General features: G+C 53.9%; 1 protein-coding gene across 2 annotated transcripts in view, besides 4 other annotated features; it reads left to right on the forward strand.

Annotated features, from left to right (window-relative positions):
* Positions 1-23,919, forward strand: part of CRISPLD2 (cysteine rich secretory protein LCCL domain containing 2) — an 89,524-nt gene that overhangs the window by 11,898 nt on the left and 53,707 nt on the right. The window contains exons 2-7 of one of the 2 annotated variants that reach the window (XM_005256190.2): positions 4,295-4,553; positions 6,540-6,853; positions 13,904-14,022; positions 17,503-17,635; positions 18,686-18,801; positions 22,847-22,947. In XM_005256190.2, coding sequence (XP_005256247.1) covers positions 6,614-6,853; positions 13,904-14,022; positions 17,503-17,635; positions 18,686-18,801; positions 22,847-22,947 — 709 coding nt within the window. In that variant the 5' untranslated portion in view covers positions 4,295-4,553; positions 6,540-6,613. The remainder of the gene's footprint in view (positions 1-4,294; positions 4,554-6,539; positions 6,854-13,903; positions 14,023-17,502; positions 17,636-18,685; positions 18,802-22,846; positions 22,948-23,919) is intronic. The other variant, NM_031476.4, reaches the window with a different exon arrangement.
* Positions 4,290-4,858: an enhancer, noted in NCBI's record as "H3K4me1 hESC enhancer chr16:84869778-84870346 (GRCh37/hg19 assembly coordinates)". NCBI's record gives its function as "activates a minimal SCP1, AML or CMV promoter by ChIP-STARR-seq in primed H9 embryonic stem cells {active_cell/tissue: H9 hESC(primed)}" and the evidence as "EXISTENCE:reporter gene assay evidence [ECO:0000049][PMID:30033119]".
* Positions 12,989-13,718: an enhancer, noted in NCBI's record as "NANOG-H3K4me1 hESC enhancer chr16:84878477-84879206 (GRCh37/hg19 assembly coordinates)". NCBI's record gives its function as "activates a minimal SCP1, AML or CMV promoter by ChIP-STARR-seq in naive H9 embryonic stem cells {active_cell/tissue: H9 hESC(naive)}" and the evidence as "EXISTENCE:reporter gene assay evidence [ECO:0000049][PMID:30033119]".
* Positions 14,501-14,737: a silencer, noted in NCBI's record as "fragment chr16:84879989-84880225 (GRCh37/hg19 assembly coordinates)". NCBI's record gives its function as "represses an EF-1alpha promoter that drives an FKBP-Casp9 reporter gene in an ReSE screen in HepG2 liver carcinoma cells {active_cell/tissue: HepG2}" and the evidence as "EXISTENCE:reporter gene assay evidence [ECO:0000049][PMID:32094911]".
* Positions 19,129-19,630: an enhancer, noted in NCBI's record as "H3K4me1 hESC enhancer chr16:84884617-84885118 (GRCh37/hg19 assembly coordinates)". NCBI's record gives its function as "activates a minimal SCP1, AML or CMV promoter by ChIP-STARR-seq in naive H9 embryonic stem cells {active_cell/tissue: H9 hESC(naive)}" and the evidence as "EXISTENCE:reporter gene assay evidence [ECO:0000049][PMID:30033119]".

Genomic DNA, 23,919 nt, shown 5'->3' on the forward strand with positions numbered 1-23,919 from the left:
CACCACCACACCTGGCTAAGGTTTGTACTTTTAGTAAAGATGGGGTTTCACCACATTGGCCAGGCTGCTCTTGATCTCCTGACCTCAGGTGATCCACCCACCTTGGCCTCCCAACGTTCTGGGATTGCAGGCGTGAGCCGCCATGTCCAGCCGGATTTTTAAACATTGGATTTTGTTAAGGTAAACGTGGGCTTTGAAATAATATGAAGAGAGAATTGTCTGTTCATAGCATTCCACATTATTCACTCCAGCCTTCTAAAATCCCTTCAAACGATGCATTTTTGGAGGCTCTGGCACAGCCTCCTTATTATAACAGGCAGTGCACTGACTGGGGACTGAAGTTCAGGACCTTTTTCCTTCCTCACAGCCGTAGGGCCTGTCACTCCCCTCCACCCACAGACGTGAACTCAAGAAGCTCGGTGCTGTGTCCAAGATGACACAGGCTTGGGCAAGGCCAAGGGCCAGTGAGGGGCAAGGTCAAGAATTGAACCCAGGTCTCTCTTCCCCGACAGCCCATGCTGCAGTCAGTAAAGAAGCAGCCCAAATCAGACGTAGTCCTTATATGGCTTTTCTGATCTAGCTGGGAGCAGGAGGGGGCCACAGAGTCATCCCGTAAATATTTATCAAACACTGACTTAGACATCGACGCTTCGGCGGTGAACGAGACCCGCAGGTCTGCGGTGTGATTACACTGGAGGTTTCTAGGAAGCCGTGCTCCTCGGGCTGAGTCTTAGCAATGAGCAGGAATTCATCTCCCTGGCCTGGGCCAGTGAAGCGGGGCATGTCGGGGTCATGGGATGAGCTGTGGGAACAGCATGTGCAAAAGCAGGGAGCTTGGCACAGGCTGGGAGCTGACGGCTGACAGGCTAAGTCCCGAGATTCATCTTTCTGGCAGATTCTCCTAAACACAAGGCACTTGCAGCCCAGGCCAATGACGCAATGAGCTTCAGCCCAGCTCCTTCTCCCTCACTCACTTCTGAGTGTTGAGTACGATGGCGCCCAAGAGATAACCATCAGGGAGACCCCTCGCTAAACTTGGACACATGGTTTGGTGATCCCCTAAATGTCCACAAAGCCTCGGCCAGGGTAGAGGGGTGCGGTTGGAGAGCTCATAGTGCAAACAAGCTGTGTTGAAAGTCCTCCAAACTTTTGGCAAGTTTGAGTTCAAGTCTTGGTTTCACTTTAAACTAGCCACACAGTCTCCTAAATGCCAGTCTCCTGGACTCAGTTGCACTTTCTGTAAAATGGGGCTGAAAACAGCTGCCTCCCTGCTAGAGTCCAAATGCATCTCAAAGCTCTGGGCAGCGCGGGAGAAGTGTGGCTCCCGTCGCTTTGATTCGCCAGCTGTGGGTCTCACCATTGACCCTGGGACCTGAAAGCTCTGTCCGTTCCCCTCCCAGCCTCTGCTGTGTGCTGAAATCTGGTGTGTTTTCATGAGGTCTCGGAGCCGTTATCTTACTTGTGGTCTTATGGGCTCAGTTTTGCAACTCTGGCAAAAGAGAACAAAATCTTCTAGAGAGCATTTCTGCTGTGTTGTCCCGCGGTCCCTAGTGATATTTCATTATCAATGAGTGGCTGAGTGGACAGGATGCAGGGGCATCTCTCTAGGAGTGGCGCATGCACCCGGCCCTGCCTGGGAGCATCAGGGGTAGAAGAGCAGAGTTAGAGTGGGAGCCTCACACCCTGGGTACCGAAGTGCACTCGGGGCAGCCACCAAAGCGTGAGCTCTTCCAGGACGCTAGGAGGGCACTCTGCAGGGGGCATCCATCTGCCAGAGGTCAGAGGTCAGAGATCAGCTCATCATATCTGGGTCAAAGGCGAGTGGGCAGCACCGATGGTGGTGGGGGGGCGTGTTTGTGTTGGTGGAACGTCACCATGATGCGAGGGTCTCCGTCGTCTCCCATGGGGGTGACACGTTGGTGCCTTCTCATCAACAGAGGCACCACGTGACCCGGGAGGCCCGTGCCCTGACTCCCCCAGCCCAGCAGCCTTCCCAGGAGGCAGAAGAGGGTGGAAGAGAACTTTAGGGCAAGATTCGGTTGTTTGGTTTGGGAGCCCCCTTCCCCCTGCATGGGTTGGTGGGGGTGCTTGGGATTTTCACATCCAGAGGGAAGCCCACTCCGTGGGAGGCAGCAGGGCACTAAGCCAAGGGCATACCTGGGCCTCGAGGTTAGAAGAGCTGCGTTCCGGCTCCAGACTTGCTGCTCGCCCTGGGCAGGTTCCTTAAATTCCATGGACTTCAGCCTCCTCATCTGTAGAGTGGGAGTGATGGAGCCCAGACTCTGGAAAGTCAGGAGGGTGAGAGGAGATCACGGAGGTCAGGCGCTCACACCACGACGGGCGCAGGGCAGGTCTTCCCCGGCGGCCCCCTTCGCCCTGAGGGTTGCTGGCGTGAGCCCCTTCTTGATGTTGGCAAGCCCGGGACCACTTGGAGGTCCATCCCATTTGGAAAGAGTTTGTGTGTTTTCATTGTCAATGGAAAAGGGGTGGAAGTGCTTCGGTCCCGGTTCCGACTGAGCTGTCTCAGAAGTGAGGGTAGAATGGGCAGTGTGGGCCAGGGCTGCCGGGCACTGCCCCTGTGAACTGGGCCTCGGCCAATTGGTTTGTGGCTTTGGCAGATGGCACCAACCAGGTTCCAGCCAGGACCCTGGCCTGGCCTCCTAACGTGCCTGTCTGCCTCCTTCGTGTCTCCTCTTTACAATAGCCAGGGGCATATTTGGAAACAGTCCTGTCCAGCCATGTGTTATCTGATGTGTGTTGGTCTGTTAAGCCGGCTACAGCAAAGTACCACAAGCTTCAACAATAGGAATTTAGATTCCCACAGTTCTGGAGGCCAGAAGTCTAAGATCAAGGTGCTGGCGGGGCTGGTTTCTTCTGGGGTCTCTCTCTGTGGCTGGCAGACGGCGTCTTCTCCCTGTGTCCTCATGTGGTCGTCCTCTGCGTGTCTCGGTCCTAAACTCTTCTAGTAAGGACACCAGTCAGCTTGGTTAGGGCCCAACCTCATGGCCTCACATTACCTTAATCACCTCCGCAAAGGCCCCGTCTCCAAATACATTGCATTTGGAGGTCCTGGACATTAGGGCTCCAGTGTGTGAGTTTGGGGAAAACCAGCTCAAACCCATAGCTGTGTGCTTGTTCCTGTGCACCCAGCACTGGGCTCTGGGGGTACAAACTGGAATGAGGTGCTGGCCCTTTTATGGTTACTTTTCTTTTTTTAATTTTTTTGAGGTGAAGTTTTGCTCTTGTCTCCCAGGCTAGAGTGCAATGGCATGATCTCGGCTCACTGCAACCTCCACCTCCCAGGTTCAAGCAATTCTCCTGCCTCGGCCTGCCAAGTAGCTGGGATTACAGGCAGGCGCCACCACGCCCAACTGATTTTGTATTTTTAGTAGAGACGGGGTTTCTCCGTGTTGGCCAGGCTGGTGTCGAACTTCTCAGGTGATCCACCTGCCTCGGCCTCCCAAAGTGCTGGGATTACAGGTGTGGGCCACCATGCCCGGCCTATGGTTACTTTTCTGCTCAAAATCTGCTGTGTTCTCCTGCGGCCCAAATGTAGTAGGAGCCATCCAGATCTGGAGGAGCCTCATCCCCTCCCAAGCAGGGACCCTCCGACCCACCCCCAGGCCCTCTGGGCTGAAGTCAAACCCAACCACTTTCAGACCCAACAGTACTGGCACACCACCCAGCATGGCAGGCCTGTGTCTCCCAGGCTGGTGGCTTTTGTGGTGCACATGAGGGCACTTGGAGAAACCCTCCCATTCCTCTCCCCTTTTCCTTCTGTTGTCTTCCAATGTGGAGGTTTCACTAAACCCCGTGGTTCTCCCAACTCTAAAGCTCCACCTGAGACTTCATAACTTCTCTTTGGAATCCTTAGAGAAGGACCAGCCTCTAAGCTGTGGAAGTCCCTTTAACATTCAGAACAAAGGCGGCCAGTCAGATCTCCTGGGATAGCTCACGCTGGCTCAGGAGGACGTGCCAGAGGACTCATTTAAAAACAGCATTTGACTCCTCCTGTTTTCTCACTTTGGCATTTTGTTTTATTTTGTTAAGCACAGGTTGGCCCTCCCTGATCTGACAATCCAAAATCCGAAATGCTTCAAAATCCAAAACTTTTTGAGCACTGCCCTGAAGCCACGTGTGGAAAATTCCACACCTGACCTCATGTGATGGGTTGCAGTCAAAACATAGTGAAAACTTTGTTCCATGCACAAAATTATTTTAACATGTTGGATGAAATTACCTTCAGGCTACATGTATAAGGTGTATCTCAAACATCAACAAATTTTGTGTTTAGATTGGGTCTTATCCCCAAGATATCTCATTATGTACATGCAAATCAGCGGAGCATCGTCATGACACCAGGAGGACACCCCGTGACGCCGATTACCGCACTCTCAACCTCAACCCAGCGTCAGAGTTTTCTGGCATCTCTTCTTTGAGCCTGGCCGCCTGCAGCTGGAAATGCTCATATATGGTGGTGTGACTAACCTGAGAGAGAGAGATCAGGGATCCTGAGAAGTTCTGCATTCTTGGTCTGCTTCCCAGTGGGACGAGTAAGCACGCAGAGGTCCTCCCCACGCAGCCCCGGGCTCGGCTTTGGAGGAGGGCAGCCCGTCTGCCCTGCTACAAAGCAAGCCAAGCCTCTCCTCTCCGCATGGGGTTATTTTTGTCTGAGGCGCAGGCTCAGTCAGGACCCTGGAGAGTTTCCAGGGGTCGGGAATGGGAACCACAGCATTCCCATAGCTCTTTGGCTCAGCCTCTGTCGCCTGTTGCCAACGTTTCTGCTTCCTGGGATGCCCGTCTTGGCCTCTATCCCCTCCAGGCCTTGATCTACATCTCCCCACCCCGGCCCCACCCGAGGATGCCCACCTTGCACTGCCACTGTCCCAGCCAACTTGACTGGTAAACACCTGGTTGGTGCTATGGGGGTGAAGACCAGGGAGGACTCATGTGAAGAACTGAGCCCCGTGGAGTTCCGACGGGTCAGCCTGAGGCACGGCCACCACCCAACCCTCCAGACAGAGCTGCTTCTTCCGGCCCTCGAGGGCCTGGCACTGTCTTTAGAGTCAGCCTTGTCCTGCTATGTGGGGACTGCGGGTTTCCTCCTCCATCTCCCCGACCTAACTGAGCTCCTTGAGGCCAGGGACAGAGTCCTCTTCATCTTCGCATCCCCAGTCTCCATCTCGGAGTCCAGCACAAAATAAGGCGCTTGATGGAGGTGACTGGGTGGCCCCGACTCTCCCCTGCGAGGAAAGCAGAGAGGAGGGGTGTGCGTGGACGCACTCGTTCAAGCCCTTCCTTGTCTTCTTGGGCCAATGACATACATTTTTCAGATGGCAAGCCAGGAGGAGGAGGTCTGTGGTTCGTGACCCTATAATGGAGGGGAGGTAGTTGGCCCCCAGGGACAGAGGAGTCAAGGTAGCTTGCTGGAAAACTCTGGGTCTTTGTAATCATCATTTCGAATTTCAGCATCTCTGCTTACCAGGAGGCCGGCCCTGGGCTTGTCTTGTCACCACACTAAGCCATAGCTTGCTTTTTTTTTTTTTTTTTCTGAGACGGAGTCTCGCTCTGTCGCCCAGGCTAGTGTGCAGTGGCGCAATCTCGGCTCACTGCAAGCTCCGCCTCCCGGGTTCACGCCATTCTCCCGCCTCAGCCTCCCAAGTAGCTGGGACTACAGGCGCGTGACACCACGCCCGGGTAATTTTTTGTATTTTTTAGTAGAGACAGGGTTTCATCGTGTTAGCCAGGATGGTCTCGATCTCCTGACCTTGTGATCCGCCCGCCTCGGCCTCCCAAAGTGCTGGGATTACAGGCGTGAGCCACCGCCCCCGGCCAGCCACAGGTTTCTTATCTGTAAAATGGGGATGAGAACAGCCTGACCTCCTGGGTTGCCATGGTGATTGAGAATAACATAAACGACCGGCCTGTGTAGGTGCTGATGAAGGGTTTTCTGAGGGAACAAAAGGCTGAGGCCTTGGCTGGACGTGGTTCTGGGCAGCTGTGTCTTAGTGTGCAACAGATGTGCGGGTGGGGCCCGGGGCGAGGGCCGTGATAAGAGGAGCCATATGTCAACCACTATTGGTAAACTGAGTCTGACTTCACAGGGACTAGAAGTTTGCTCTCAACGTTGGTCCACGGAGCATCCTTTGGTGATGGGAAATGACTTTAGCAATCCCCTTGGGGCAGGTGATAGAAGCTAATTTGTGCCTGAGATTCACCTGAGTCCTGAATGAATAAGAGATGCTGACTCATAATTAGAAAATGCAGGGACTCGCTCAAGGAAAACTTGAGTCCAGGAAGAACTGTTCTAGGTTATCCTCTTTGGAATCCTGACAGCTTGCCTCGCTGGAAACCCTTGGCGTAAATCCCAGCTCCACCACTTCCTGTCTGTGGGACCTTGCTTGTTTAGCTTCTGTGGGCCTCAGTTTCCGCATCTGTAAAATGGAGAGAGTCGTGTGTGCTGCGTTCGCTGCTCCAGCCAGCGCTGTGACCGGCTCCTACTAATGCGACTTCTCCCACCACCCTCTGCTTCCTTTCAGAGCTCAAGCGCCCAGCTCTGCCCGAGGAGCCCAGGCTGCCCCGTGAGTCCCATAGTTGCTGCAGGAGTGGAGCCATGAGCTGCGTCCTGGGTGGTGTCATCCCCTTGGGGCTGCTGTTCCTGGTCTGCGGATCCCAAGGCTACCTCCTGCCCAACGTCACTCTCTTAGAGGAGCTGCTCAGCAAATACCAGCACAACGAGTCTCACTCCCGGGTCCGCAGAGCCATCCCCAGGGAGGACAAGGAGGAGATCCTCATGCTGCACAACAAGCTTCGGGGCCAGGTGCAGCCTCAGGCCTCCAACATGGAGTACATGGTGAGCGCCGGCTCCGGCCGCAGAGGCTGGCACCGGGGGTGGGGCCTGGGCCACCAGCCTGCTCTGTTCCCCAGCCAGCTCTGTTCCCCAGCCAGTGCGTGTGATGGCTGGCTCAGGGTCTCCTCTGGCAGGGGAGGATCCCGGCTCTGTTCTGTTTTGTTTGTTTGTTTTGAGACAGGGTCTCACTCTGCCACTGACGCTGGAGTGCAATGGCACAATCGTCATGCCCTGAAACCTTAGACTCCCGGGGTTAAGCGATCCTGCTTCAGCCTCCCAAGTAGCTGGAACTACAGGCATGCACCATGGTGCCCAGCTAGATTTTAAATATTTTGTGGAGATGGGGGTCTTGCTACGTTGCCCAGGCTGGTCTTGAACTCCTAGGCTCAAGCAATCCTCCTGCCTCAGCCTCTCAAAGTGCTAGGATTATAGGCATGAGTCACCCTGTCTGGCTCTGGCTCTGTTCTTAACATTCTGCCAAAACAACACACGTGGGTTCCCTGTGCAGAGCCTGCCTCGTTGCCTTCATGTCACTCTTGGTAGCTCCACTGGGAACACAGCTCTCAGCCTTTCCCACCTGGAGGCAGAGTGGGGAGGGGCCCAGGGCTGGGCTTTGCTGATGCTGATCTCAGCTGTGCCACACGCTAGCTGCACCACCCTGACTTCTCCTTAGCCCGTGTGAGCCTCACTTTCCACTTGGAGAGTCCTTCCTCGCGTGGTTGCCATGACTGTGAGATAAGTCGAGGCTGTGAAGGGCCCGGCACAGACTGACCCTGCCTCCCCAACCCCTAGGCTTTGCTAACCGGGAAAGGAGCTAACGGTGACAGAAGACAGCCAAGGTCAACCCTCCCGGGTGATTGTGATGGGTGTTCCAGGTGTGGTTGGGCGATGCTGCTACTTGACCCCAAGCTCCAGTGTGGAAACTTCCTTCCTGGCTGGTTTTCCAGAACTACAGAGGAATGGACCACAGTCTTCCAGGGTCCCTCCTCGTCCACCAACCGGGAGCCTCCACCTTGGCCATCCGTCAGCTATGAATGGCTTTTTAAACAAACCCACGTCCCAGCCTGGGTAACATGGTAAAGCCCCGTCTCTACAAAAAAATCCAAGTTAGCCGGGCATGGTGGTGCGCACCTGTAGTCCCAGCTGCAGTGGGACTGAGGTGGAGGTGGAGGTGGGGGGTGGGAGCTGAGGAAGGAGGATCGCTTGAGCCTGGGAAGTCAAGGCTGCAGTGAGCTGAGATTGCACCACTGCACTCCAGCCTGGGTGACAGAGCAAGACCCTGTCTCAAAAAAAAAAAAAAAATCCACATCTCCCCCAGAGTCTGAGTCTTTGCCACTTTGTGGGTACAGGCATCATCATGTCTTTGGAATGCACCCATGGCCCCCTGCTGTGATTGCTCTGAGAGACACGCTGCCGTCTCATCTGTGTCTTTAAAGCTGTGGTCACGTTCCTTTGCCACAGGCTGAGCTGGCCTGGGTGATGACCCGTGTCTCCCCCACAAAGCTGCCATGGAGGGTCGTGGCATGAGGGTTGAGTGGCTATTACGTGCCACGTGAATTGTGTCCTCTTTAATCCTGACAGTAATCCTGGAAAATAGAAAGTATTAGCACCAATTTGCAGAAGAGAAAACTGAGGCTCAGAGAGGTTCATCTTTAAAGGACTTGTACAAACCACACAGCTACAAATGTACAAATGGTGAAGCTGGGATTCAAAGCCACCCTGTCTGTCCCCAAAACCTGCACATAGAAGGTGCTAATACGTATTTATTGTTTCTGTTTGTTTGTTTGTTTTTGAGACAGAGTGTTGCCCTGTCGTCCAGGCTGGGGTGCAATGGTGCCATCTCGGCTCACTGCAACCTCTGGCTCCTGGGTTCAAGCAATTCTCCTGACTCTGCCTCCTGAGTAGCTGGGATTACAGGCTTGCACCACCACGCCAGGCTAATTTTTTGTATTTTTATTAGAGACGGGGTTTCACCATGTTTGTATTTTTATTAGAGACGGGATTTCACCATGTTGGCCAGGCTGGTCACAAACTCCTGACCTCAAGTGATCCACCCACCTCAGCCTCCGACAGTGCTGGGATTACAGGCATGAACCACCGTGCCCGGCCTATACATATTTATTGAATGTGTGGGTAGGAGGCTCTGCTTCTCTGCCTTCCACATACCTGATATTTAATCAACTGGTGAATTCTATGTATTTTTGAGTGCCTCCCGTGTGCCCAGCACCCCGTGAGATTCTTGCTATAAAGAGGTGGACAAAGCAGATGAGGTCCCCGTCCACACGGCACCTCCGGACTAGTGTAGCCAGGAAGTATTTGTGGAGCACCTTCGATGTGCCAGGCACTGTCCTGGATTCCCGGAAGAGGCATGATTATGAGTTGTGCAGAGTTAGATGAAGAAATACGGGGAGCTGCAAGAAAGAACGTTAGGGGTGGAAGAATCCTGACTGAGAGGGAGGAGTAAGGGTGGCCCACTCTGCGGAGGAGCCATCTCAGTTAAGACCTGAAGAGTGAGCATGGTTGAGCAAGCAAGCGTGCAGGGAAGGGTGTTCTGGGCAGAGGGAACAGAAGGTGTGAAAGCCACCACCGCCTCGTGAGTCTCTTTCCTTAACGGGAGAAAAGCTTCGGGTCTCAGAGGAGCTCTCAAAAAGCCAGCAGGGCCATGGCTCATTTCTGAGGGAGTGAGGCCATTGGAAGAGGTCAGAGAGGCAGGCAGGGGCAAATCACACAGGGCTTTGAGGCTAGGTGAGGAGCCTGCCTTTTTTTCTATGAGGAATAGAGTTTTGGTATTGCTGAAATGGGGGTAAAAAAGAAAAAAAAAGAAACAGGGTTTTTTTGCGGGAGAGGATGCATTTATGACTGTGAAGCACTTTTTTTTTTTGAGACAGAGTCTCGCTCTGTCCCCCAGGCTGGAGTGCAGTGGCGTGATCTCGGCTCACTGCAACCCCCGACCCCTGGGTTCAAGCGATTCTCCTGTCTCGGCCTCCCAAGTAGTTGGGATTATAGGTGCCCACCACCATGGCCAGCTAATTTTTGTATTTTTAGTAGAGACGGTGTTTGCCATGTTGGCCAGGCTGGTCTCAAATTCCTGGCCTCAGGTGATCCACCCACTTCAGCCTCCCAAAGTGCTGGGATTACAGGAGTGAGCCACTGCGCCTGGCTGTGAAACACTTTTGCTGCTGTGCGGTGTTGGGGATTGGAGGGCGCAGCAGGAAGCAGGGAGGCGGCTCAGGTGACGGGCAGGTGAGGAGTGACGGGGCGGTATTTGGGCGGGAGGCGGGGAGTGAAGAACAAAGAGCCGTTCCGGAGACCTGGGAGGCATTGCCCATGGGTCAGGGCTACACTGGTTTTCTGGCTGGGCTTTCTGTCTTTCTCCAAGCTCTGGACACACCGCACCGTGAGAAAGGCTCCTGGAAGCAGAGCAACCCTGCCCGGGGGCTGTTTCTGAAGGGGCAGAGCAGAGGCTGGAAAACCTGCAAGCCTTCCCTCAGAGTCACTGCGTTCCCTCGTGCCACGCTCCCCTCCTCTTCCAAGTCAGTTAGCCTCCCTCCCTCCCTCCCTCCCCGCCTGCCTGCCTGCCCGCCCTCCGTCCCTCCCTCCCTCCCTCCTTCTTTCCTTCCTTCTTTCCTTCCTTTCTTTCTTTCTTATTGTTTTTTTTTTGAGACAGATTCTAGCACTGTCGCCTAGGCTGGAGTGCAGTGGTGCTATCTCGGCTCACTGCAACCTCCACTTCCCGGTTCAAGCGACTCTCCTGCCTCAGCCTCCTGAGTAGCTGGAACGACAGGTGCGCACCAGCACACCCGGCTAATTTTTGTATTTCTGGTAGAGGCGGGGTTTCACCACGTTGGCCAGGCTGGTCTTGAATTCCTGACCTCAGGTGATCCGCCCACCTCAGCCTCCCAAAGTGCTGGGATTACAGGCATGAACCACTGTGCCCAACCTACGTTTTTCTTTTTCGCCGCCAATTTCTGAGAGCAGAGGGGGCTTGTTGGAACATGCTGTTGGGAGAGTTGCTTTATGAGAAATGAAAGGAAAGGGGCCATGGGAACGTTGAGACCCATTGAATCCGCGCATCCCTGGTGGCTTGGCCTTGGTCCTCATGGGGCAGGGAGGCCCCACGTCTCTCTGGAGAGGTTGTCAGCATCTGGGACTGGAGCTTGACTGAGCTGCGACCCCCAGGATCCCAGATGCTTCCCGCCTCCCGGTCTGGAGCAGGCTGGGTTCATGCTGGTCTTCTTGTCCCTGCACTGTGTGGTCCTCCCGGTTTCATGCAAGACTTAGTGCCAGTGAAAGGAGCTTCTTTGCAGCAGGGAAAGTCAGGCCGCCCGGGCAGCCCAGAGCAGGCCTTTCATGTTTTCCTGTTTGTTTACTTGGTGATGTTTCAGGATTGGAGCTGGGATCTGGGTCCTTTGGTCTAAAAGGCCGGCCTGCTGGGGAGGCTGAGCCTTCATGGATGCTACTGAGGCTACCTCGGAGCAAGGAGGCTGAAAGGATGGGGTGGCAGGGGCCCTGCCACTCAGCCCGGCACCCTCAGCACTGCGCTGCATTGCCCCTCTGCTCTGGTTCACACCCAAACAAGCAATGCAGATTTGAGAAAGCGGCTTGGAAACGTGGCTTCCTGCTCAACCCTGCCTGCTGTGGCTTCAAGCCACAGTCCTTTGAAACAGCCTTAGCACTGAAAGGTGGATTCTAAAACCCCAAAGAGTTGAGCAGCCCGTTCTGAGGTTTTATGAGTGGACAGGCTCTGGAGCCAGCCTGCCTCCGTCCAGCCAGCTCTGTCACTGGCCAGCTTTGTGACTTCGGGCAGATTGCTTAGCCTTTCTGTTTATATTTCCTCACCTGCATGATGGGAACAAGAAACCCTTTCTCATAGGGTTGTTTGGAGGAGGCAATGAGATAATGCATAAATCAGTTCCAAGTAAATGTGAATGATGCTGTTATCATTTAGTATATTGCACAGTCAGCATGTTGCATTAGCATATTTTAGTAACTTATGATTTTCGTGGGATGGGTCTGGCACTTGGTTACAGTATGCAAGGCAGGAAGAGCCCCCTTAGTAGCCAGACAAGAGGGGGTTGTGAAAGACTTCCTGGTTGTGTGACCTCAGGCATGCTACTTAACCTCTCCAAGACTCAAGGTTTGTTGCCCCTTGGCTGTTGAGGAGTCTTGCTGGGACACGGGGAGAGAGGGAAGTGAGGCATGCGGTTGTGTTGGGCAGGTACTCCCTGCTGGGGGGTCCCAGGGCTAAGACAGGACTGTCTTCCCTGAGCATCTGCTGTGTGCCCGGGGCTGGGTGTGCAGAGGGCAGGAGGCCAGCCTCTGCCTGCTTAAAGCTGGAGCATCTGTCGGGAGGACTCCAGGGAGGAAGTGCAGCGTCAGCTGCCAGCTGTGCCAGGGCTGCCTGGCATCTGTTCCTCCACAGAGGAGAAAGGACACGCTTGCTCTGTTCATGGAATTCTCTCCCCAGGAGTCATGTGTGTTCCTGGGGCCAGCCTGTCTTCAGAGTCTCTGCCCAGACCCCTGCTCAGGCCCCACTGATTCAGGATGGGCCGTGCTGGGAGGTGAGCAGGGCTGGGCAAGCTGAAGACGTCTCTTGTCAATTTCTTCTCATTGTGGTAAAGTATACGGACTATAAAATTGACCATTGTAACCATTTTTAAGTGTGCAGTTCTGTGGCATTAGGTACATTCACACTGTTGTGCAACCATCCCCGCCATCCATCTCTGGCACTTTCTTTTCTTTTCTTTTCTTTCTTTTTTTTTTGAGACAGAGTCTTACTTTGTCCAGGCCCGGCTAATTTTTGTATCTTTAGTAGAGACGGGGTTTCACTATGTTGGGCAGGCGGGTCTCCAACTCCTGACCTCAAGTGATCTGCCCGCCTCAGCCTCGCAAAGTTCTGGGATTACAGGCGTGAGCCACTGCTCCGGGCCCATCTCCGGCACTTTCTATCTTCCAACTGAAATGCGGCATCCATTCATCTCGGGGCCCTTCTTGCTGTGTTGCCCTGCGGGTGGCCAGTGAGAGTCTAAAATCCCCTGCAGGGGCCCTCGTCTGCTTTTCTTTGCAGGCCTGTGTGTCGCTGACGTGGATAAAGCCTCCCTGACTGCAGCCAGGCCCTGGGCTGGGCATCTTGTAGGCTTCCCCTCCCCATTACTGCTCACAGTGAGGGCCATGGACATACCCACATTACAGATGAGGACAGTGAGGCTCAGAGAGGGTAACTGCGTGCCTAGGTTCACACTGCCATTCCAGGACCAGCATTCAGAGCGCCAATCCAACGCCACCCGGATAATTGATTTCTAGCCCCTGGCCTAGGAATAGCATCTGATTATTACCTGCTGTGGTCCACACATAACTGCGTACATGGAGACAGCTCAGGGTCCAAGGTCCTGAAGACCTGGGTTCAGATCCTGGTTCTGTGACTGGCTGTGGGACCCAGGGAAAATGGCATTGCTTCTTCAAGCCTTGGTTTGCTTGCCTGTGAAATGGAGATAAGGGCCCGCTTCGGAGCCCCCTGTTAGAATGCAATGAAAAGGTTGGGGTAAAGCCCGAGGCCTGGTGTGCCTGGAACATGCGTAGTAAGGAGAGGAAGCCTGGTGTGCCTGGATCATGCGTAGTAAGGAGAGGAAGCCTGGTGTGCCTGGAACATGCATAAGGAGAGGAGACTGGGGTCATCGGGACAGGCTTCCAGGCCAAGACCGTCCCTAGAGATGGCTGCTGACCTTCCCTTGTCTTCCACACAGCGTGCCGTGTTACCCTCAGAGGTCACTCAGCATGGCCACTCCTGTTTCACAGACACTGAGGCCCAGAGAGAAGGCACCTGCCCAGGACCTCTGGCAAGTTAGAGGCCCAGCAGGAGGCCTGAGGATAGGCTTGGAGCCGGCACGTCTGGCCTGCCACGCCCCCCTGGCTGATTTAGGAACCCAGCAATACAGCAGCAGAGCATTGGCTGTAGGCTCCACAGGAGCCCAGGCTGGGGCGTTGCTGTATTTATGGTTCTTATGCCCCTCCCTCACCCTCACCTCCTGGTGCCCGTTTCTCCTTCTCCTGCAGACCTGGGATGACGAACTGGAGAAGTCTGCTGCAGCGTGGGCCAGTCAGTGCATCTGGGAGCACGGGCCCACCAGTCTGCTGGTGTCCATCGGGCAGAACCTGGGCGCTCACTGGGGCAGGTAAGAGCCACAAGTTCCTCTCCGGCTGCCGCAGGACCCCACTGCCGTGTGCCGGGCTCAGCACTTGTGCCCCTTATCAAGTTTAGCCTGCAAAGAGAGTGAGAGAGACCACCCGTCCCATCGATATTCTGGGAAACTGAGGCTTGGCATCCAGGAACACTCCTGAGTGACTGACAAAATGTATTCAAGCTTGGTTGGCTGACCCCAGACACTGATGATTGATTAAAGTTTGTAGTTTGGGTTTTCCTTCTTCCTTTCCTTCTTCCTTTCCTTCTTCCTTTCCTTCCTTCCTTCCTCCCTCCCTTCCTCCCTCCTTCCCTTCCCTCCCTTCCCCTCCCCTCCCCTCCCCTTCCCTTCCTTCTTTTCTTGACAGGGTCTTATTCTGTCATCCAGGATGGAGTGCAGTGGCGCAATCTCGGCTCACTGCAACCTCTGTCTCCTGGGTTCAAGTGATTCTCGAGCCTCAGCCTCCCAAGTAGCTGGGACTATAGGCATGTGCCACCACGCCTGGCTAATTTTTGTATTTTTTGGTAGAGACAGGGTTTCACCATATTGGCCAGGGTGGTCTCGAACTCCTGGCCTCAAGTGATCCACCCACGTTGGCCTCCTCAAGTGCGGGGATTACAGGCATGAGCCACCGCGCCTGGCCTGTAGTTTGGGGTTTCCATTCCATCTCCTGTGCAGGGTTCTTGAGTCCCCGTTCCTGTGGGGTGAACTGCTCTGTTCATGGTGGGTCATTTCTGTCTGGTTCTGCTCACTGTTTAAGGCTGAGCCAGGTTCCACCCTGTTGGGAAGATGCCCATTGCCTTCCCCGCGTCATCCAGCCGTCGGGAAGCTCACTAACTTCTCCAGACCCCCGAGGCTTCCCTGTCTGGCAGTGTTCTGTCCCCTCTCCTTCCCTGTCTGGGAGCGATTTGTCCCCTCTCCCATAGGAGGCATTGACGGTTGTCTGTTAAATGCAGCCGACGGGCCTTCCCCAGAGTAAGCTGGACCATGTATCCGTGCTCCCAAAGAACCCAGAAGTCCCCTCCTGGGGGCTGACGGCTGGTTTCATTGGAGAAAGTGGAAAAATGTCTTTTGACCACGCCCAGGATAACAACTAAGACCACATAAGACTTAACGACCAACCTGTGACCGTGCCATGCCCAAGGCCAGAATTCACGTCCTCAGACCCATCCAGGACCTGGATTGACATCCATTTTGCCCTAATTATTGAAAAGTTGGAATGGGCTTTAGACAGCCTCTTAAAATGTAGGTGAGCGTTTGCTTTCACTTCCCACAGAGGGATTTCCTAGCTTGGGTTTCACTGGGCCACGGGCAGCCGCACCTTCCTCTGCATCCGTGGGTTTTCAGGACAAACCTGGGCAGGTGTCATGGTGGATCGACCGCGGTGACTTCACAGAGGCAAATCCACACCATGGTTTTTTCTTTGGTGAAGTTAGCTTTTTATAAAAACTATCTTACAGGCTGGGCAAGGTGGCTCATGCCTGTAATCCCAGCACTTTGGGAGGCCAAGGTGGGCAGAATACAAGGTCAGGAGTTCAAGACTATCCTGGCCAACATAGTGAAACCCCGTCTCTACTAAAAATACAAAAAATTAGCCAGGCGTGGTGGCAGGCGCCTGTCATCCCAGCTACTTGGGAGGCTGAGGCAGGAGAATCGCTTGAACCCTGGAGGCGGAGGCTGCAGTGAGCCAGGATTGCACCATTGTACTCCAGCCTGGGTGACAGTGCAAGAATTCGTCTCAAAAAAAAAAAAAAATCTTACAATAACATGAAAGTGAAGTGTCTAAAGCAGGGAGATCTGGAATTCCACTAGCCTGGTTCGGCTCTTTTCATTTTTCTGAGCTCCTTTGCAGCACCTGGCTGGGCGCCGACGTAGTTTTACAGCATTGAGACTGTAGCCTGGATCACTTTGAAATCTTTTTCTTTTTCCTTTTCATACAATATCAGGAAATTTTCAGTGATACAGTTGTCATGAATGTCGCCCTGCAAATGCCCTAATGATCCCTCTGTGGACAGACCAAAGTTGACCCGTTGGCTCTTGCAGATTCATTTTTGTTTTTTGTTTTTGTCTTTGTCTCACTTGAATGATTTCATTAGGATTACTCCTGAGAAGTAGGATTGCTGGGCCAAAGGGCACACAGACTTCCCCCTTTCTTAAGGAATTTTGCTAACTTGCTTTGCAAAAGAGCCCCTGACTCTGCATGGCCCCCCGGGGCAGCCGCGGGTTCCTTTCCCCACAGCCATGCCAGTGCCAGCCTTGAGTCTGCGTGACCTTGAGCCGCAGGGAAGCGGATGAGTGGCCAGCAGCCCTCTGCTCCTGCCTCCTCACTGTGTGCACGCCTTTCTGCAAATGCCGCTGCCCGCTGCCGTGCGCTCCGCTTCCAGACAGTAATTGTTACAAGACCTCTAACTGCCTCGACGACCACATGGCCCTTAAAAATGGTCATTTCCCCCGTGAGCATTTTCTCTTCATCGAAACCACTTTGTTTATACTTGCTGGTGACAGTGTGACTGTGGACTTGCCTCCAGTTTGGTTTTCTCCCTAGTTATTAAAAAAAAAAAAAATGGTGCCAACCTTGGCAGCCAAGGCTGAAGCAAGGGGGTGGTGGGCATGAAGCGATGACCCCACGGAGGATGTCCAGGGACAGGTGCAGCTGGTGGCTGCAGATTACAGGCATGCACCACCTCGCCCGGCTAATTTTTGTATTTTTAGTAGAGACGGGGTTTCGCCATGTCGGCCAGGCTGGTCTCCAACTCCTGACCTCAGGTGATCCTACCGCCTCAGCCTCCCAAAGTGCTGGGATGACAGGCATGAGCCACCATGTTCGGCCTTAAGTGCACTCACGTCTTCATCAGGTTTTGTCTTAGACAACAATATCTGTGAAATACGGGCTTCATGGGCTGGATAGTTTTTCTCCAACGTACCTGAAAATAAACACCTAATTGACATAAGAAAGGACTCATTACTTGGGAGGCTGAGGCAGGAGAATGGCGTGAACCCGGGAGGCGGAGCTTGCAGTGAGCCGAGATCCCGCCACTGCACTCCAGCCTGGGCGACAGAGCGAGACTCCGTCTCAAAAAAAAAAAAAAAAAAGAAAGGACTCATTAAGAGCCAGGTGAAGAGATTCCTGCACGTGCAGGTGGTGTATGAGCCACCTGAGGAGCCTACTAGAGACCCCAGGTGAGCTCCTCAAGGATAATGGTATTAAGCACCTGTACCAGGTGCTGCTGGAATTGAGGGTTATTCCCCCACCTCGGCCTCCCTCCCTCCTCGCTGCCCGTGGCTGCTCCTGGAATTGGGGGCTATTCCGCCTCCTCGGCCTCCCTCCCTCCCGGCTGCCCGTGGCTGCTCCTGGAATTGGCCGCTATTCACCCTCCTCGGCCTCCCTCCCTCCTACCTGCCCGTGGCTGCTGCTGTCTCCACTGGTGGGTGAGGGGAGGGGCTGGGACTGAGTGAGCGGTTTCTGCCCTGCAGGTATCGCTCTCCGGGGTTCCATGTGCAGTCCTGGTATGACGAGGTGAAGGACTACACCTACCCCTACCCGAGCGAGTGCAACCCCTGGTGTCCAGAGAGGTGCTCGGGGCCCATGTGCACGCACTACACACAGGTAACTCGGGGACTTGCCACGACCTCAGCCCTGCCCCCCAATCCCAGTCATTCACCCCCTGCCCCTGGGGGATTGTCAAATCTGTAAAGCCTCTGCGCTGTTGTTGCCTTCATTTTTAAAAATTCAGTTCTATACAGAGTACAGCTGGGAGAAGAAGCTGTTTGTTACCAGCAAGGTCAGAAACTGAGTGAGCACTACAAACTCTTTTTTTTCTTTGAGGCAGTGTCTCCCTGCTACCTGGGCTGGAGTGCAGTGGCATGATCTTAGTTAGCTTAGTGCAGCCCCAAACTCCTGGGCTCAAGCAATCCTCCCACCTCAGCCTCCTGAGTACCTGGGACTACAGTTGTGCACTACGAGGCCTGGCTAATTTTTGTATTTTTTTTTTTTTTTTTAGAGATGGGTCTGGCTATGTTGTCCAGGCTAGTCGCAAACTCCTGGGCTCATGCAATCCTCCCCGCTCAGCTTCCCAAAGTGTTGGGATTACAGTTGTGAGCTACTGCACTCAACCGAGAAAACTTCTATGGCAATTTGACATTGTGGGGCATTTTCATTGTGTGGGAGTCTGTTTGTTTGCTTGCTTTTTTTTTTTTTGAAACGGAGTCTCCCTCTGTCGCCCAGGCTGGAGTGCAGTGGCACGATCTTGGCTCACCGCAACCTCTGCCTCCTGGGTTCAAGCGATTCGCCTGCCTCAGCCTCCTGAGTAGCTGGGACTATAGGTGCCTGCCACCACGCCCGGCTAATTTTTGTTTTTTTAGTAGAGATGGGGTTTCACCATGTTGGTCAGGCTGGTCTCAAACTCCTGACCTCATGATCCGCCCACCTCAGCCTCCCAAAATGCTGAGATGACAGGCGTGAGCCACCGCACCGGCCCACTTGCTTTGCTTTTTAAGAAAATGTATGTATCTTCAATGGGTTAGGGACTAATATCTGCTTCCCCAACCCTTCACCTCGTACCTCTTTAGTGCCAGCACCTTATACATCCAGGCCAAATGATATCACCCTTTTGTGCCTTATCCCTCGAGCTGTGACACACAAATGTCATCTTTTCAGATAGTTTGGGCCACCACCAACAAGATCGGTTGTGCTGTGAACACCTGCCGGAAGATGACTGTCTGGGGAGAAGTTTGGGAGAACGCGGTCTACTTTGTCTGCAATTATTCTCCAAAGTAAGACAAGTTGATGCCGTTGTATGGGGTGGGGGTTGGGATGTGTTTGCTTGCCAGGGAGCACCCAGTGAAAACTGGCTTGAGCAGCGAAGTCTTTAATATCTCACATAACAAAGAATCTAGAGTTTAGTGCATCTGGGTTAGCGTAATAGCTAAGCAGTGTCAACAAGGACTCGGGTTCTTTCCGTCTTCCTGCCGTACCATTCTCTCCTCATGGTCCCAAGATGGCTGCACAGCACCAACATCACATCTCCCCAAGCACAAGGAAGGATGGTCAAAGGGCTCTCTCCTTAGGTCTTTTGCACACTGGCATACTTTCTCCTTATGTTCTTTGCCAGAATTAGACCAATCATAGATGAGGGGGAAAAAGATTGCCCCAACTGGCTTTGCAAGACGTCCTCTGGGACCAACTGAACAAAGTCAGAAGTGGGAATAGCTGCTGGCTGGGCAACCAGCATGGTCTGCCCTGGCAGTATGATTATTTTTCTCTGAAAACATGCAGTAGACAGCACCCTAGAAAACACATGTTCACACAAAGCCTAGCTTCTCTGTTTCCCTCCAAAGAGGGTCCACATGCGGCCTCCTGATCATGGTGCCTCCTCCGCCTATAGCATGCTCAGCTCATCAGTGTGGTGTCCAGCCCTTGACTCATTTGCTCATGGGACAAATATGTGCTGATTCTTGGAGAGTCACTCCCCCAGTTCATGGCCTGAGGTTTGCATGCTGGCCGCTGGCCACCGCCGTTCTTGCCCCGTGCCCTGTGTAGAGTGGGCCCCGGGGCATGTTTGCTCAGTGACTGAATGAAATGGGAATGACCTCATTTATTTGTTTTGGGTCAGGAGTAGTTATGAAAAGGTGGGATGAAGGGGGAATCGCTGAGGTTGGGAGGAAAAATAGAAGCCCTCTCAAAACCATCTGGTGTGCCTGCGGTGGCGTGGCGCGGCTCAGCAGCCCACATGGATGAGCGCAGCGGGTGTGTCATTGCCTGGGAGGGACGCAGGCACCATGCAAGAGCAGCAGACTGGTCCAAGGTGGTGGAATTCCTGGCCCAGTGGCAGGTGGTGAATGAGGAATCATTTGACTTGACTCTATAAAAAATAGACACTAGAAGGTCCTATCAGAAATGAAATTATTTCCTTCTGTAGCTGCCCCCTGCTTCCTTAAAAGAAGGAATAACCTCCATATGGTAAAATATACTCATCTGAAGTATACAGTGCGACACAGTCTCACATGCATTAGTCTGTTGGGGCTGCAACAACAGAGGCCACAGCCTGGGCAGCTTACACATCAGACTTTTATGTCTCACCATTCTGGAGGCTAGAAGTCCCCTGGACCAAGGGGTGGCAGATCAAGGTGTGGCAGATCAAGGGGTGGCAGCATCGGGCTCCAGTGGGAGCTCTCTTCCTGGCTCACCAACGGCCACTATCTTACATGGTGGTGAGAGATGAGGACATCAATCCTATTGGGTCAGGACTTCACCTGTTGACGTCGTTTAACCTTAATTAGTTTCATCAAGGCCCTGTCTCCAAGTACAGTCACATTGTGGGTGAGGGTTTCAACACTGGGATTTGGGGAGACACATAATGAAAGTCCACGGCAATAGCCCTCTACCCGTGTAACTACCATCCAGATGGAGATGGACAGTGTCTCCCATGCCCCAGAGGCTCTCTCGTGCCCTACAAAGTGCCCACCATTCTAGCATCTTTCCCATCGGTCTGTGGTGTCTGGTGTGGGACCTCATATGAAGGGGGCCACACAGCACACTCCCTGTACCCCCAAATGGTGTTTTGCTCAACATCACATTGGTGAGGTCTCCCCGTGGTGTTGCGTGATCACCGGTTCTTTCCTTTTGTCTGCTGCATATTACTGCGTGCTGTCCATGGCCTCTGTCTTAGAGAGAGGGCTTGAGCCCCTGGGCTATGCAGGACACTGTCCCAGGCACCAGGGTGAGGAGGGTGGCTGGGAGGGTGAGTTTGGGTGTGGGGGGGGTCAGATCCCTTGAGGGGGATTCCCAACCCGACAAGGGGTGGGGTGGGTGTGTACACAGAGGGCCTTGTGTGTGAGGGAAGGTACTTCACGGTGCTATTCAAAAATTAAGGAGACTGGCCAGTGCGGTGGCTCATGCCTGTAATCCCAGCCTCCTTTGGCCGAGGCAGGAGAATCGCTTGAGTCCAGGAGTTCAAGACCAGCCTTGGCAACTGGCAAAACCCCATCTCCACGAAAAATACAAAAAGTTAGCTGGGTGTGGTGGTGCATGCCTGTATTCCCAGTTACTTGTGAGGCTGAGGTGGGAGGATTGCTTGAGCCCAGGAGGTTGAGGCTGCAGTGAGCTGTGGTCACACCACTGCACTCCAGCCTGGGTGACAGAGCAAGACCCTGTCTCAAAAATTAAGGAGATTATTTGTCTGCAGGACCTGGTGCCCAGCCAGCCTTCCACCAATGCCAACCCTGAGTGTTAGGGTTGAGCTGGGAGCGTCAGTGGTGTGGTTTGTCTGAGGAAATATAGAACCGTAGACACAAGGGGAAACTTGGCAGGGGCAGTGGGACGTACCCACGACAGGGCCACGATCATCTGAGAAACCTACTGGGCTTCACCCAGAGACAGGATGGGCTCTGGGACCTCTCGGTCCCTTGGTGATGTTCTTTTTGGGGGAGTCATCCCGAAGACCCCCGGGGATCTGAACAGACGATTTCTGAGCAGGGATGTCTTGTGGCATGGCACGGACGCGATCATTCTGCCTCCGGAATGTGAGAGGGTGGAAGAGGCTGTGTGCACGTCATAACAGTGCCCAGTCAGACAGTGGCCAGCCCTGTCCTCCCCACACTGCACGGCCCACTGTCCCTCCCCTGCCCACAGGCCCCTCGGTGAGGCCAGGGTGCTTCTGGGGCCGCGGGAAGTTCTAGGCCACTCTTGTAAGGACGGATGCCTATCAGACCCAGAGCGTGTTTCCTGCCGTTTGTCTTTGGCCAGCACTGGCAGGGCCCCTCCCCATCTTCCCTGGAAAGCATCAGAGCGTTCCCCGCACAAGCCTGTGGATTTCCCCAACGCTCAGAGCACAGCCTTCCCCGTGAGTCAGGTGCCGGTCCAAGGGCTTCCCCACGGTCACTCCCTCAGTCTCACAGCAGCCCTGCTGCCGTGATCCCATTTTACAGAAAGGGAGACCGAGGCTGGGGCTGGAGGAGGCTGGCCGAGGGCACATGCTGGCAGCCTGGGGCCCAAGCCGGGGAGCCTGCTCTTCACAGCCCAGGAGCCGCAGGAAGGGCCTGGGGATTCCGCTCACCACCTCTACCTGGCCCCTGGAGAAAGCCTATGGTGCGGCCTCCAGTTTTCCTGCCCCTGGGAACTCCGGAGGGAGGCAGAGGGCAACTGTGACCCAAGAGGGACCTTTGATCCAGCCCCTAGAGTAGAGTGTGCCTAAGGCTCTGAGCCGGACAGCCTGTGTTCAAATCCCAGCCCCGCCACTTGCTTGTCCTGTGACCTGGGGCAAGTCACTTAACCTCACTGTGCCACAGTTTCCTCCTCTGCAAAAATATTGAATTCCAGCTCTTCCCTCCTGGGGTGTTGGGGAGATGGGGTGAGGAGTGCAGTGAAGGCACAGACCAGGGATGGTGTGTGGTAAAAACTGGGAAACGCAAGCCGTCTCTGGGACAGGCTGGCTTTACACATTTGAGAAATGGCTTAAAAGGGGGTCCTGGCAGCTTTTCAGCGCTAAGGTGTTGTGATCTAGGGGCCCTAACAGTGTTCAGAGCTGTGTTGGTGGAAGGGGGGCCACGGGGCTGACAGCCAGCCAGGGCAAAGGTACTGTGTGGAAGGGCATCTTGTAGCTCCCTTCTGCAGAATCGCTGGGATTCTGGAGCTCTCTAGACTCTCTGTGCACGGGAGAGGCCTGGGATAGCCATCTTTCCCGCTTCCCACAGCACACAACCTTCCCCCCTGACCTGTCAGTGGCGGTGTTCAGGGACTCACGTGGGCCTTGGAAGAGGATCAGTCCCGAGGCCTCACGTCGTGGTTCCCTCTGACGGTTGTTTTTGGGTCTGTCCTCAGGGGGAACTGGATTGGAGAAGCCCCCTACAAGAATGGCCGGCCCTGCTCTGAGTGCCCACCCAGCTATGGAGGCAGCTGCAGGAACAACTTGTGTTACCGAGGTAGGAAATTTACTCCCAACACTTTTGCAATGAATTTGCCCTCAGTCTGAGTCATGCGACAGCGTTACATGAAACAGGGGAATTAAAGAAGTCAGTCACCCCTCCTGGCCCTATTTAAGACGCTCTCAGCACATTCCTCCCGCCTCCGTGATGAGCTGAGCCTCATCTCCAGGGTCTAGGCTCAGCTTCCAGGCCCCTGGAGAGCCCCACTGCCCCGAGACATGGCTTCCCATGGGCATCTCCTGTGCCGGGCTCTGCAGATGCTGGACACAGCATTAAATGCAGACGCACTGCTCACCCTCGTTAGCATTCACAGTTTCATATAAAATAGGCCACGGGCTGGACATCGTGGCTCACACCTGTAATCCCAGCACTTTGGGAGGCTGAGGCAGGAGGACCATATGAGGCCATGTATTAGGGTTCTCTAGAGGGACAGAACTAATAGGATATATATAAATATGTATATATGAGTTTATTAAGGAGTATTAAACTCACGTGATCACAAGATCCCACAATAGGCCATCTGCAAGTTGAGGAACAAGAAAGCCAGTCTGAGTCTGGAGGTGGAACAACTTCAAGCCCGATGTTTGAGGGCAGGAAGCATCCAGCACGGGAGAAAGATGGAGGCTGCTCCCAGTCTCCACCTAAGTCAGTCTAGTCTTTTCACATTTTTCTGCCTGCTTTATATCCTAGCTGCACTGGCAGCTGATTAGTTGGTGCCCACCCAGATTACGGGTGGGTCTGCCTCTCCCAGCCCACTGACTCAAATGTTAATCTCCTTTGGCAACACCCTCACAGACACACCCAGGATCAGTGCTTTGCATCCTTCACTCCAATCAAGTTGACACTCAGTATTAACTATCACAAGTCCACCCCTTGTCAACTTGAACCCATACACATCTCCTGAGATCATACATAATCTTCAAATAAAGACAATAATAAGATCATAATTACACTAACATAATACAACCA

The sequence above is a fragment of the Homo sapiens genome, chromosome 16, assembly GCF_000001405.40.
Source record: "Homo sapiens chromosome 16, GRCh38.p14 Primary Assembly".
In the NCBI taxonomy this organism is placed as follows: Eukaryota; Metazoa; Chordata; class Mammalia; order Primates; family Hominidae; genus Homo; species Homo sapiens.